Below are 16,383 nucleotides of genomic sequence, written 5' to 3' on the forward strand. Positions count from 1 at the left end.
ACCTATGGCTATGTGAGGACTCCACAATGAACACATGAATGCTCAGACTGGGATTATTGAGAGTTATTTTTCCTAGGGCTTCATTCATTCCAGAGAAGAAACAACTGCTTCTCTGTGCCTGAAACTATGTCCCCACTTCTCGCATTCTAGTAGACGGCTCTAGGTAAAATGTTTGTTTCTGACTGTGCTTCGGGTGTAGCAAACAAAATATACAAAACGTGGGTGTAGGAAACAAAAGTCATGAAGTTGGAAAAGTGCTCCATGAAAGACATTATATTTTATATTTAGAACTAGATTTTACATCTCAAAAATAACAGATTAAACAGACCTAATGCTTCCTTATGTCAGTGAAGAAAATAATAGACAATATAAAATTTATGTTATTTTTTACATCATCTAAGTACTTCGAAACTAGAATAAAATCACTATCAAACAACACAGTGTACAAAGACAGTGATTTCCAACTCTGGTAGTAGAATAAAATTATGTGTTAATATTTAAAAATGACCAGGGTCCTGCCCCAAACAATTAAATGATGAGGTTTGCGTATAGGAGTTTTGCTCCAGAGAGCAGTATTTACGTACACCAAAATGAAAATGGTGCACGTGGAGTTTTGCTGCTCCACGGCCCTAACATTGTTCTAAAAGCAGATGCAAGAAAAACGTTTGCAAACACTTCATTTTTCCAGCAAAAGTATTCATTCCTTCATTAGCACATATTCCAATAAGGGAATAAATTGGACTTCATTCTTCAAGTTTTTGTTGAATTATAAGGAGGCTGGAAGGACAGGACCAGTAGTTACAATCATTTTAGAAGGATGACGTTGCCTGAAAAAAAGCAGTCATGGAAGCCACTCCAGGTGGCCTCTGAGACCTGTGGAGATTTTTTCATTTCTCACTAACTCATGTTTTACCATCTGTAAAAAGAAGGCAATATTTGCCTCTGACCACCACAGAAGAACGATCTGAGAGAAAATGTAATTAAAAATGAGAGTTCCAAGGAGTGCTTTTTGTAAGAAAAGTATGATGTAAAATTAAGATATTATCATAGTTAATGCGGTTGTCACTACTACTGTTACTTGACTATTGTACTACAATATCCCTGTCATGCTGTTAACGATCTTCTTGGGACCAAAAGTGACAGGTGTAAAATGATTTTTTTTAATGTCATACTTGCTTTGTCTTCTAAAGAAAAGTCTATGAGGACCTCAGAATGGGCCAAAAAATACAGTAGTCTTCTCATGGAAATCCCTCTAACCCTGGATCTACTGTACACACTCATTATTTCAGTTTCCCCACCCCTTCAATTATCATGCATTTTTATTCAAATACAATGTAAAGCTTCAGCTGATTTGAATAGTGTTAGAAACCACAGAAGGGGCTTTCTTTAGAACATTAAATGGGGACTGCCTTTCTTGAATCCAACCTTCTTGAATATCACAACTGTTTCTATCCTGTTTCTAGAGAAAAAGTTCCATTTTCACATCTGTCTCTTGCAAAGACATAACATGTGCATAGAAGTAAACTCTGTTATGCGCCACTGAAGGATTCAGTATCTGGAGTCTGAGGGCATTTTTCTTTATGTCTACAATGAGAGAAATTGGACTAGCTGAGCCTACAGTGCTTCTACTGCAAAAATGCTGTGAGTATAGAATTATGACCAAAAATCCCAATAGGTTTTTTCTTTTTATTTATTTTTGTTGTTGTTTTCTTGAGACAGAGTCTCGCACTGTCGCCCAGGCTGGAGTGCAGCGGCATGATCTCGGCTCACTGCAACCTCCGCCTCCCAGCTTCAAGCGATTCTCCTGCCTCAGCCTCCCAAGTAGCTGGGATTACAGGCACCTGCCACCAGGCCCGGCTAATTTTTTGTATTTTTAGTAGAGACGGGGTTTCGCCGTGTTAGCCAGGATGGTCTTGAACGCCTGACCTCATGATCCACATGCCTTAGCCTCCCAAAATGCTGGGATTACAGATGTGAGCCATTGCCCCCGGCCCCCTATTGGGATTTTTTTAATGGAACTATGTGACTCTAAAATTCAGTTTAAAGAACAACCCAAATACTCTTGCTTAAAATACCAGAAAAAATCTTTAGTTTAGTGGTGTGAATGCGGGAATAGGGACTTTTACCTGCCAAATATCAAGACGTATGATAAAGTTATAATTAAGGCAGTGTCGTTCTGGTCCAAAATATATAGTCATATGATAGAATAGAATAGTAAATACAAAAAGAAATTAATGTTTGTGAAAGAATCAGTGAGAAAGGGATGAAAATAGAAATTACTATTGTGACCAAAATGTTTATCCATTCCTAGTAAGTATTCAGTATTTACAGAATATGTTTATATTCTTTACATTAAATTCATGACTAGCCATGTTCCTTAATTCAATATTATTTTTGAATAGTTTGTAAGTTGATTATCTTTCAGTTTCCAAGTCAACAAAATTATTACTTACAGATGCTATGGTTATTTACTTTTATTTAAATATACTTAGTATTAATTTTGATATTATGTATTGATTAGAATTTTCTCTTTGTGATGCATAATGACAGTAATGAGAGATACCCTTCTGCCTTTTCTACTCAGTAGACATTGGCGGTTGCTTTTAAACACATATTCTTTTTTGGAATGTGGGTCCCCATCTCTAGCGCATTGAAAGTTGTTTTTTATTTTTTTTTTAATTTTTGAATCATGACTATATGTTACATTTATAAATGCCTTTAAATCATCTATCAGAAAGTTTTCACAGTCTTTTTCTTATGATCATGTAGTGTGATGAAAAAGGGTTATAGATTGCAATCTTAAATTTCTAGATTAAACCTTATTTGGTATAGTTTTCATTTTAAAAATCAGAATTTGATAATACTATGTTTAATATTTGTGCATCTATAGTCATAAGTAAAATTGGTCTACTTTTGGTATTATTCTTTTCAAGTATTTTTCTAAGTATTAAAAATTTATTTTTGTAAACCTGTCCCATGGCTATTACCTAGATGAATAGGTGTCTTAGTCCACTTGGTGTCATTCTAAAGGCATAACTGAGGCTGGTCAACTGATAAAAGAGGTTTATTGGCTTATGGTTCTGTAGACTGTATAAAAAGTATGGTGCCAGCGTCTGCTCAGCTTCTGGTGAGGGTCTAAGTCTACTTCCACTATATTGGAAGAAGAAACTAGTGCCTACAGAAACCACAGAGCAAGAGAGAAAGTGGCAGGGGAAGTGCCAGGTTCTTTTTAACCAGCTCTCACAGGAACTAATAGAGTGAGAAGTCACTCACCCCCGAGGGAAGGCATTAATCTATGCTGGAGGGTTCCACCACCATCACCCAAACACCTTACATTAGGTCCAGCCTCCAAAACGGGATCAAATTTCAACATGAGGTTTGGAGGGATCAAACATCCAAGCTACAGCAGTAGGTAAACAAATAGGACAAACTACATTACCCAAATCCACTTGACTAGGAGGAATTCAGCTGTTAGACCTAATGAATGCAATGAATAGATGAAAATTTTAGCCTTCTATACACAGGTTAAAACAACTTTCAGAAATACAGTTGTTTCCATATCACATCAAACCAATTTATGTATTTGTAAATTAAAACTTTAAGTTATTCGGTTTATCACCTATATGCATAACACATAAATACAAGGAAAAACTAGATTGATTTTTCTTTTTCATTAATTACATTACTGACAGAATGTTTGAGCTTCAAGAAAAAACTCTAATCAGAACAAATTTTGGTAAAAACTGGCACTATATAAGAGCAAAATTTCTGTGTAATAGGAAAAGACAGACATATAGATCAATGGAATAGTATAGAAAGCCCAGAAATAAACTCTTGCATATATAACCAAATGACTTTGACAAGAATGCTAGATATTCAATCAGAAAAGTATAGTTGTTTTTGACAAATGATGTTAAGAAAACTGGATATTCACATGCAAAAGAATGAGGTTGGACCCGTACCTTACTCCATATACAAAATTAATTCAAAATGGATTAAAGACATGTAAAGAGATGTAACAGTTAAAACTATAAAACTGTTAAAAGAAAACATAAGATAAAAACTTCATGACACTGGATTTGGCAAAGATCTTGGATATGATACCAAAAGGCAGCAAAAGCAAACAGAGATAAATTGCACTTCATCAAAATCTAAAAATTCTGCACATCTAACAACATCTATCTTTCTATAGCTACTATCAACAGAGTATAAAAGGCAACATATGGAATAAAATATTTGCAAATCATATTCTAATAAGGGTTCAATATCCAGAATATATGAACAACTCATAGAACTCAACAACAACCCAATTTAAAAACAGTTAAAGGACTTGAATAGACTTTTCTCACAAGAAGATATATAGTTGGCCACTAAGAACATAAAAAGATGTTTAATATCACTAACCATTAGGGAAATGTACATCAAAAGCACAGTAAGCTATCCCTTCACATTCATTAAGATGACTATTTTTTTAAAAAATTAGAAAATAATAAGTGGCAAGGATGTGGAGAAATTACTGCCCTTAAGCATTGCTTGTGGGAGTATGAAATGCTGTAACTACCACAGAAAACAGTATGGCAGTTCTATGTTTAAAAAACTAAGCATGGAATTACCATATGATCCAGCTATTTCATTTCTGGGTATGTACGCAAAAGAACTAAAATCAGGGAAGCAAACAGATATTTGTGCATCAGTGTTCACAGCAACACTATTCATCATACTGAAAATCTGGAAACATCCCAACATCCATGGATCAGTGAATAAATAAATGTGTTATATAGATACAATGGAGTATTATACACCCTTAAAAAGAATGACATTCTGACACATGCTATAAGGATGAGCCTTGAAGACATTATGCTAAATGAAATAATCCAGACACAAAAAGACAAATATTGTATGGTTCCACTTATATAAGGTACCTAAAGTAGTCAAATTCATAGAAACAGACAATACAACGGTAGTTGCCAGGGCTGGAGGGAGAGGAGAATGGGTGTTATTTTTTAATGGGTACAGAGTTTCAGCTTGGAAAGATGAAAGATTTTTGGACATGGATGTTGGTGATTCTTGCACAACAATGTCAATGTGTGTAATGCCTCTAAACTTTACACTTAAAAATTGCTAAAATTGTAAATTTTAAGTTATGTATATTTTACCACAATTTAAAAATACTAAAGTGCTTGAGGTCAAGGTTTATGTCTTTTTCTCCATATGTCAAAAGTTGGCCACACATTGGAGCCTCCAGAGTCAGATGCACCACATTTAAAACCCAGTTTTTTCACTTACCGGCTATTTGACTATTACTAACCTTTAAAGATTATTATTTGCATATCTATGAAGTGACAGTTAGAATAATACCTACCTGTGACTTGACATGAAGAATAAATGTGTAATGCTTAAAAATGTTTAGTATAATGCTGACAAATTGTAGTCACTAAAGAATTAACCACTATTACTCCTGTCTTAGAAAATCTGACACAGTGCTCACTTCTGAGGCCACCTGCATTTCTGGACACGGTCTTGGCCTTGATTCTCTGTCTATAAAGTGGGAACTATGTAGTTTGCATCGCAGAGCTGCTATGATGAGATTATGTGAAAGTGCTTATAAATTACAGGACTATATAGAAATAAGCTATCTCACAGCAGAGAATAACAAAATACATTAGAAACTAAAGCAAAAAAATGGGAAGGAAGGAAGGAAGGAAGGAAGGAAGAAGGAAGGAAGGAAGGAAGGAAGGAAAGAAAGAAAGAAAGAAAGAAAGAAAGAAAGAAAGAAAGAAAGAAAGAAAGAAAGAAAGAAAGGAAAGAAACTACTTGCCACGAGAACAATTTTCAATGCTGACTTTACATGTAAAAACACTTCAAAAGAAGATATTCAGAAACCTCCAAAACTAGAATTACAATATCCAGGTTTCTCAGATATAAAAAGATTGATTACACACAAAAAAAGAATATTTTATGGTGGCATTCGAACACATGAAAAATAACCCAAATACCTATCATTCTAGAACCATTGCTCATACCACACTTTATGACTAAAGAAAAACTACCCTCCGCATAGGCTCTGGTCTCATCGCATACTCAGTCTCAATGGGATTTCCTTAAGAGTCAAAACCCCGACAATTGCATGAAGCCGGAAGCTCAGCAATCTTCTGAGGGCATCTATCTTGTTTTCTAAGAAGCATTTTGGAGGTTTTTCTTTACCTGGAGAAAGCACTGGCTAGAGCTATCTGTAAGTGCACTTCTTCTCTTGAACAGCAGAGGGTACTCCAACTCCGCGAGAGACAGACCATCTCAGCCCCTCAGTCCGCTGTGTCTTCCTGGCCTCGTCAAGACATGAACCCCAGACCAAAACAGTTCCGTTTCCACAAAATATTCCACTGAAAACCTATTACTATTCCGTGGGAATTATCGGCACATTCCAAAGGAGTAAATGGAGCCGTGGCAAAGGGAAAGGGTGGAGTCCCACCACACTGCAGGCTGCCTTAGGCCTGACCAGTTCCTCTCATACCTCTTACATTCTAAAGAGAGTTAAAAAATGTCTGTGGCAGAAATTGTGAAGGATTAACGAATACCTCCCATAGCCCCTAACTCCAAAGCAGAGTTACTGAGGAATATTAAGTTACAGCCACACAGCGTCAAACTGGCACCTGGCTGAGCTGTCCCACCATCTTAATAAAAGTCCCACAAGCAGAGGGAATAGGATGGGAAGACTCTTACCTAGCACGCTGTCAGGAAAAGTTTAGGAAACACAAAACAAAGCAGTGACTCTACCAGCCTGACCAAAATAAAGTCATCTTACTTTAAATGTGAATGTGCCTAGAAATTTCTGAGGCTAATTCATATTGTGCAAATGATGCTGCCTTCTAACGTGACACTGAAAGAATTGCAAAACATTCTCTAAATATAACAAACAGAAAAAACTTTCATGCCTTCTGCTCTTTTCTTCCTGATGCCATTATTCAGGTAGTTATTCAAATGGCCCTAATTTAATTAAGGGAAAAGCAGATAAAACTTTTTCTTTTTTTCTTTAATACAACATTCCCTTCACTCCATTCGTATGGCTTAGGAGTTCGGGTAATTCTCTGTAAGGTCATCCAAGGAAGACTTCTTTTCCTTTTTTCTATTCTCCCTGGCTGCTCCCTTTCCCTATCCCATTTTTGTCATCTTATCCCCTTCAGCCAACACAATATGCATTCTTTCCAGATCAGCCAAGCATTACAAGCAAATAACCACTCGCTGGGTGCGGTGGCTCACGCCTGTAATCCCAGCACTTTGGGAGGCCGAGGCAGGTGGATCAACTGAGGTCAGGTGTTCGAGACCAGCCTGGCCAACATGGTGAAACCCTGTCTCTACTAAAAATACAAAAAATTAGCCAGGAGTGGTGGCAGACGCCTGTAGTCCCAGCTACTTGGGAGGCTGAGGCAGGAGAACCGCTTGAACCTGGGAGGCAGAAGTTGCAGTGAGCCAAGATTGACCCATTGTACTCCAGCCTGGATGACAAGAGTGAAACTCCATCTAAAAAAAAAAAAAGATAACCATTCAAATATGAATCTATATTAACTAATATATCATGAAGTCACCTTGCCTTTGTGGTTTTGGCAAAATTCTGGTGAAATTTCTAATGAAGGAAACTCATTGTAATATCCTTCAGGCAATTTAACAAGCTTCAGAAAATGGGGCATATATAGAATATACAATAGATTCTTAGGTCATTCTAGGCACTGTACCTTAGGTGCCTTGGTAGTAGTTACTAGGCCCTTTTATGGGCTTTATGAAGATAGAGAATCAGGTTCAAATTCTGTCTCTGGTGGTTGTTTTAACCTGTGTGACCTGAAGTACTTAACCTCTTTGATCTTCCATATTCCCAGATATAAAAATAAAGAGAAGGACAATCTAGGGCTATTAAAAGGATTCACATTTCATAATCATGTTTCAACCACAAACCTGGGTGCTCAGTAAACATGACATTTTCTCTTTGATTAAAAGAATGAATTAAATGCTACACCAATTTTGTAAAACTCAAATTGACAAATGTTAGTTTCATCCAAAGCATTTGCATGTTTCTGGCCTAGAAGTTCAAATTCTTCATTTTACTCTCTCCATTTCAGGGCATACAATGTAAAGAAGCTTCACGAAAAATAAAAGAAAAGTGAAAATATATTTAGCTACAAATGATTGTCCTCTTCCCTGAAAATTACAGAAGAGGTATCTTCTATTAATGGCAGTGAACGAGAAAATGTTCTGCTGCCTCTGAAAATGAACAGGCATAAAGAAGACTGACAAAGAGCCACCTGACATTGCCAGACTTGTGGAGAAGGCTTCAGTGCAGTGCTCTCAGCATTTCTAAATAAAACTGCACATCTAGGTTTCTTTCCAAATAGTATATTGATTACTTGCAGTCAAATTGTGGTCTTTCAAACAGCATGTTCCTTTATCATCATGGAACCAGCAGTTTCAGATTCCGTAATTGAGAGCTACATAGTTTATAGGAATTGGTATTCAGAATAAGACTTTTTAGTTTGAAGCTGAATAATGATAGATGTATGTGGAGATCAGTCGCTTGCTGGGAAAAAATCGTGCAGTTCATGTTTTCATATTTTTGCCAGGAGAAATAGCACCTTATGCATTTTTTCCAGAAACAAAAATATTTCCATCCACCATACCAGTTTAGAAGACTGAATTCTAGAAATTTCTTGGTGGTAGTTTCTCTTTTTGGGGAGAGGGCTACTCTAAACTAAAGAAACCCCCTAAATTCACCTCCTAATATGGCAAAATTATTTGTTCCATATTATATATACCATATATTTTGTCTTTAATGCTCAATTCATGAATTGTGAAAAATGACAGAGAGAATGTATCATCTAGCTATTCCATGATGGATCATGATATACTTGTACCCTCCTAAATGAAAACAAATGCATACTTTTCAGTCATTTACTTTTTTTTTTTTAAGTAGAGGTCATTAATGATCTTCCTTAATTTTATTTCATCCATATAATCATATAATTTGAGAAATATCATTAATGATATATCTGTCCCTTCTTTTGAATGTGCATATATATATTATATATATTTCAAGCTAATTCAAATATAAATATTAAAATTATTCTTTAAATTTTTATGAAATATTTTAGATATATTTTTAAAATAATGAACTCCGTAATTGATTATGGCACAAACATCCCTTACCCTGCCCTTCCCTTTTTGGTGGGGAGAGAGAGTCTCAAATGTAGTGATTTAATCAAAAATAGACTTTTTAATTCACATCTCATTAAATATGAGTTTAAAAGAAAAGACTAAAGTGTTTTATGTAAAGTTCTGTGATTTGTAAAACCTAAGAGATTGCTCCCGTAGCAGTTCCCTGAGCAAAATAAAATCAGTCCATTTCAGAAGACATAAATTGCTTACCTGTAGACTAAAAGAAATCTAAAGGAAATGTCCTACTCTCCTAATTAGAAATATTTGTAGAGAAAGTATACTGTTTATGACACTGGAAATAGTTTCGTCTGCTGGTTCTAAGTGTGTGTGCTATTCTAAAAGGCACTATTCCCACAATTAATTACAGTATCATATGATTATAATTTTAGATGTAGCTCCATGATGTATTTTGAGATGTCACTAATCCACCTTGATCCCCCTCTTCTCTCAAGCTCTGCAATGTAATGTCATGTAGCTAGGCATTCCAAGCAGTTTTCTAGTCATTTCATATATTTTAGTTTACAGTTTACGAAGACTGCATATTATTCGTGGGCACAGACTCACAAAAGTTTGCTTCTTATATATCCCTATAGTTTTAAAAAAATTAACAGGTATAGAATAGGACCTCCAAAATCGTTTTTTGTTCAAAATAAATTATTTTAGGAAATTTTATTGCATACTAACAATACTTTTTAAAATCACAGTGATTTTGTTATGGTATCAGTAATATCAAGAAATTGTGAAAAGTTATTTGCAAACTATAGTCCTTCAATCCAAATTATTTTGTCACTTTACAGCACACACATTTCTTGGTGAAATTTGCAGGCTTCAGTATATATGTCAAGTAATGACTAGATCTGGAATAGTTGTGTTAATTTGGAAAAAAATGTTATTAAAGTTTTATTTTGTTAGCCTTGACATATTCATTTTATTATTTTAAAGTAAAAGAATAATGAAAGTGGAATTGAAAGGTTTTTTTATTTTGAAATTTAAGAATTATTGTATCATGTCTTAAAGAATTGTAAGATCCCAATAATATGTGAAAGGAGCCAAAGATATTTTTACCTAAACAAAATGATCAATTAATAGTTTATCTTTACTTTTCAAATTCAGTAAATATTTGTCTGATTTGTTTCACATAAAAGAGAAGAGACGGCCACTTGCTCATCATAAATTACATAATTATTTTATGTATGTGAATTTTACATTATGATTGTTTTTGAAAAACCCCTCGTAAGGATTAGGGAATCCTATTTAAGAAACGTAGTGGCATGTAGTGTGCACCAAAGGGAAAGAAAATCAACCTGTATAAAATTTGTTTTGCTAAAAAGAAAAAAAAAAAGGCAAACTGGAATAAGGAGAGTGAAACAATCTTCCTTCAACTCCAACATATACTTCATTTGCACCCCCTACAATAACTGTCACGGTTTTTTTAAAATACTGCATGAATTCATGCTAAAATTCACTTTTAAAGCAAGGAACATCTTGCAGTAGCTTGGATATGTCCAGAAATAACATGAGTAGTGGCTATTTTACCCAGCAGGCTCCTTTATCACTCCAGAGAAGGAAAGTCGACAGCCTTTGTATCTGCAGTGTAATTAGCTTGTGGATGTAGGGTCATAATGAAAGCAAAATTTACATTATTACAGGCATGTGGCTGTTTGCTTGTTCTAACTGGCATAAGAAATGAATTCCACTATGTACATTTAAAGATGTATTCAATCCATTTTCTAATACTTTTCCCTCCAGGAAAGCAACAGTGTGTTCAGCAAGCTGGAACTAAACTGTTACTGAATGGAGAGTTCCCATCCTGCCTCAGTGGAATCAAAGAAAAGAGAAAGGCTCCAAAATGAACACAATGCGTGTTATTTGCTACCATAAACTGTGCAACTGGTTTCTACTGCTGTGTTGCAATTGAATAGTAATCAGGAGAAGTTACACGTTGTTCTTAGAAATAATACAACGAATCCTGTCAATCTTAAGTCCTGACACTGAATTTAACGCTCTCTGTTTAGTCCTACCATCAAGGATGATTTGCAGGTGAAGAATTCTTGATAGTCAGATGCAGACTACGTCTTCAGATCCTATGGCCTAAGGTTATTAAGGTGGGAGAAGCAAAACAAATGCGGTTCTCATCCAGTAATAATGGATTTACAAGAATTTGAAACAAAACTTTCCTTCCAGCTACTGCTTTCATGTCAGAGAAATAAAATACATGTACAAGATTTAAAGCTTTATGTGTCTAACCCTTTCTGACCCCTTTTACATTCAGTTATTAATAATAATAACTATGATAATATTGCTTATGCCCAGGGCTGAAATGAGGGTTAATTAGTTAATATTTATAAAGCTTTCTGAAAATGAAAAGTACTGTTTAAGCCCTAAGTGTATTCTTTTCTTCTTTCACTCTCTTCTTTCATTTCCTTCTTTTATCACAGATCAATTGATTCTTCCTCCCATCTGGCTAATTTTTTTCACTGGTTATATTTCCTGCTCGTTTTGGATTATTGCCCTTGACTCCACATTGACCTCAATCACTCTTACCCTTCAACATTGTGTTTGCTCTTTTTGCCTCCCACGCTTTAGTCACTTCTTTCTCACTTTCATTTCTTCTTTCTAGTCTTCCTTTATCCACTCCTAACACTAATCTCGTAGCTGTAGACTTATCTTTTTCATTGTCCTCATTTTTTAAGCATAGGTGAAATACCGGAATTGATATAGATTTAATTTAATTTTATCTCCTATGTTATGCATTATTGAGACCAGAAAGTAGATAAATCAAATTGGTCATACCCAATCCTTTCCTACAAGATAGTAAATGTTTTGAAGTCACAGACTATTGCCATCTGGAATAGTCCTTCTTTTGTAACCCAGTATAATCTCCACAAAAATGTTATTTTTAAAAAATCCCTCCACTCTATAACATTCTGATGACCTGTAAGCTTTCAAGAAGTCTTCAGTGAAAACCTGTCTCTACTAAAAATACAAAAAATTAGCCGGGTGCGGGTGTCGGGCGCCTGTAATCCCAGCTACTCAGGAGGCTGAGGCGGGAGAATGGCGTGAACCCGGGAGGCGGAGCTTGCAGTGAGCCGAGATTGCGCCACTGCACTCCAGCCTGGGCGACACAGCGAGACTCTGTCTCAAAAAAAAAAAAAAAAAAAAAAAAAGTCTTGAAGGTGCTTGGAATTTTTGAAAAGTTTATTATATGGCATAAGTATGGGTCAGGTGTTAGCTGGTTCCACATACTTCCCATTGTATGTACAACTTCTAAATAAACAGCAATAAAAGCATATACTGACTTATTATTTCCTTTCTAAAAGTAAAAGGATAGAAATAATACAGCTGTTCCCTTAAGCCCATACAAAGAATTTAGTTGTAGTTACAAGGATCAACTAAGTTTTAATAGTATATTTTAATGGTGTGTTTCAAGAGAGTCTATTAACTAAGAGAGTTATTCAGATTGTGGAAATAGAATGCCCAATATAAATACATAAAAGTCTCTTATAAGTTCATGACTTAACTAGTTGCTACCTAATTATTCTCACTTAACAGCGTCCCTGTATCTAATTTTGTACATCACCACCAGAATACTCTAACTAAACGACTTAAACTTTGCTATATGCTTGTTCAATGACATTAGGGCCTTCAAGTTGCTTATAAAGTTCAGCACTTACCAGCTAATACCCTGAATATCGCTCTCGCACCTTAAATTTTCAAGTTGAATAAAATATTTAGTAAACAAGTACTCTGTGCTATGTTAAATGCAGTTCAGCAGCATTTTGCCATGTGTACAGGCCTCCTGGAGACCCTAGAAGTACCAACCATTGTATCTAAAACTAAAACACCCAGCAGAACCTGGCTTGGGCTTCTGTTCAGCTATGCATTCATTCAAATTCTTCGTGCCTACCAACCAGTTGTTAACTGGTCCCACAACATCCTCTGTTCTTTTCAGTTTCTCTGCAATTTCAGTCATATTCACTCCATATGACCTTGCCACTCCTCTCTGCGTATCATTTTTTGATAAAACAATTTTACCATAAACATTAAGGTAATTATTTCTCGTCCTATGATAATTATTGTTCTTTAGATTTATTTTGATGATTAACCAAGCATAGCTTTGTTATACTTACTCAACAAATAGACATTAAACTCACACACATTCAAGTCACATGGGTGTGAATATCAGGAGTTTTCTAGGTGCTACGGGAATATATGAACCAGTTGCTATTATTTAAAGATATTTATCATCTTGGGGACATAAACGAGGAAGCAGGTGACACATGACAATGAAGGGCACCAACTAAATATTATAGGAATATAGACGAAGAAGGAAACATTTTCAGCAAGCAGTAAGTAGGTAGAAAGTAGTTAGTGTTAGAACTGGTATATTACTGATGGTTAAACAAGATCGTAAGGCGGGCTGGGCACAGAGGCATCAGCCTGTAATCCCAGCACTTTGGGAGGCCGAAGTGGGCAGACCATGAGATCAGGAGATCGAGACCATCCTGGCTAACACAGTGAAACCCCATCTCTACTAAAAATACAAAAAATTAGCCGGGCGTGCTGGCACACGCCTGTAGTGCCAGCTACTCAGGAGGCTGAGGCAGGAGAATCATTTGAACCCAGGAGGCGGAGGTTGCAGTGATCCAATATTGTGCCACTGCACTCCAGCCTGGATGACACAGTGAGACTCTGTCTCAAGAAAAAAAAATGTAAGGCTATTTTAAGCAGATACATTAGTTACTTCTTGTTGTGTAACACATTATCCAACAATTTAGTAGCTTAAAGCAACAAACATTTTATTTATTATGTCATAATTTCTGTAGATTAGGAATCTGACTCAAGGTCTCTCATGGGATTGCAATCAAGCTGCTGGTTGGGGCTACAGTCTCATCTGAAAACTTCCACTTCTAGGATAACTCACATGTTGGCTAGCCTCAGTCCCTTGTCATGTGGGCCTTTCTACAGGGATGCCTTATGACAAAGCAGCTGGCTTCCTCTGGGTGAGGGAGAGAGAGAGAACACTCAAGGCGAAAAGACCTGAGAACTGACATTACATCATTTCTGCCATATTCTATGTATTACACATAGATGTGAATATCAGGAGGTAGGGATCATCTGGGCCCTTCTTAGAGACTGCCTTCCACTGTAATAATGATAATATGATCAAAAAACAAGGGGGAAAATGTTTCATGGGCATTTGGGAGTGATGAGCAGTCCAAGTTGGCTGGACATGTCACCCAAATATGGAGAGCTCTGATATTGCCAAAGAGTTGATTTTATGGAGTAGCTGGAGTAATGTTGAAAACATTTACATGAGGCCAGGCACGGCGGCTCATGCCTGTAATCCCAGTACTTTGGGAGGCCGAAGTGGGCAGATCACCTGAGGTCAGGAGTTTGAGACCAGCCTGGCCAACATGGAGAAACCCCATCTCTACTAAAAATACAAAAATTAGCCAAGTGTGGTGGTGCGCACCTGTAATCCCAGCTACTCAGGAGGCTGAGACAGAAGAATTGCTTGAACCCAGGAGGCAGAGGTTGCAGTGAGCTGAGGTCACGCCACAGCACTCCAGCCTGGGTGACAGAGCAAGACTCCGTCTCTCTCTCTCTCTCTCTCACTCTCTCTCTCTCTCTCTCTCTCTCTCTCTCTCTATATATATATATATATGAACACCACATTCACAGTGAATATTTTAGAAAAATTTAACTCATTTTATTAAAAAGTACCAACTTCCATGGTGGTTGAATTAATTTATACTCCCAACAACAGTATGTAGGTGTTCCTTTTCCTCTGCAACCTTGCCAACATCTGTTACGTTTTTACTTTTTAATAATAGCCATTCTGATTGGTGTGAGGTGGTATCTCATTGGGGTTTTGATTTGCATTTCTCTAATGATCAGTGATACTGACCTTTTTTCTTCATATGATTTCTGTCCACATGCATGTCTTCTTTTTAAAAGTATCTGTTCCTGTCGTTTGCCCACTTTTTAATAGAATTGTTTGGTTTTTACTTGTAAATTTGTTTAAGTTCCTTATAGATGCTAGATATTAGATCATTGTCATATACATAGTTTAAAATTTTTTTCTCTTATTTTATAGGTTGTCTGTTTATTGATAGTTTCATTTGCTGTTTAGAAGCTCTTAAGTTTAATTAGATCCCATTTGTCAATTTTTGTTTTGTTGCAATTGCTTTTGGTGTCTTTGTCATGAAATCTTTGCCTGTTCCTATGTCCTGAATAGTATTACCTAGGTTGTCTTCCAGGGTTTTTATAGTTTTGTGTTTTAAGTCTTTAATCCATCTTGAGTAAGTTTTGTAAAGGTGTAAGGAAGGGGTCCAGTTTCAGTCTTCTACATATGGTTAGCCAGTTATTCAAGCACCATTTATGAAGTAGGGAATCCTTTTTCCATTGCTTGTCTTTGTCAGATTTGTCAAAAATACTTGTAGGTGTGCAGCCTTATTTCTGGGTTCTCTATTATGTCCCATTGGTCTGTATGTCTGTCTTTGTACTAGTGCTATGCTGTTTTGGTTACTATAACCCTGTAGTATAGTTTGAAGTTGGGTAGTGTGATGCCTCCAGCTTTGTTTTGTTTAGGAGTGTGTTAGCTATTCAGGCTCTCTTTTGGTTCCATATGAATTTTAAAATAGTTTTTTTCTAGTTCTGCGAAGAATGACACCATGGTGATTCCTCAAAGACCAAAAAACAGAAATACCATTCAACCCAGCAATCTCATTACTGGGTATATACCCAAAGGAAGATAAATCATTCTATTAGACATATGCACACATATATTCATTCCAACACTATTCTTAATAGCAAAGACATGGAATCAATCTAAATGTCCATCAGTGGTAGACTGGATAAAGAAAATGTGGTACATATACACTATGGAATACTATGCAGCCATAAAAACTAACAAGATCATGTCCTTTGCAGGAAGACAAATGGAGCTGGAAACCATTATCCTTAGCAAACTAATGCGGGAACAGAAAACCAAATACCACATATTCTTATAAGTGGCAGCTAAATGATGAGAACACATGGACACATAGAGGGGAACAACACACAATGAGGCTGATTGGACAGTGGAGGGTGGGAGGAGAGAGAGGATCTGGAAGAAATAACTAATGGATACTAGGCTTAATACCTGGGTGATGAAATAATCTATACAATGAACCCACA

At 36.2% G+C, this 16,383-nt stretch overlaps 1 long non-coding RNA gene across 1 annotated transcript; it reads left to right on the plus strand.

Annotated features, from left to right (window-relative positions):
* The first annotated feature begins 6,155 nt into the window (after nucleotides 1-6,155).
* On the plus strand, nucleotides 6,156-11,591 carry LOC105374697 (uncharacterized). The gene is made up of 3 exons (XR_940111.3): nucleotides 6,156-6,232; nucleotides 8,112-8,208; nucleotides 10,951-11,591. It is a non-coding gene; the product is annotated as an uncharacterized LOC105374697 (long non-coding RNA).
* Nucleotides 11,592-16,383: the final 4,792 nt, after the last annotated feature.

The sequence above is a fragment of the Homo sapiens genome, chromosome 2, assembly GCF_000001405.40.
Source record: "Homo sapiens chromosome 2, GRCh38.p14 Primary Assembly".
NCBI classification, from domain to species: Eukaryota; Metazoa; Chordata; class Mammalia; order Primates; family Hominidae; genus Homo; species Homo sapiens.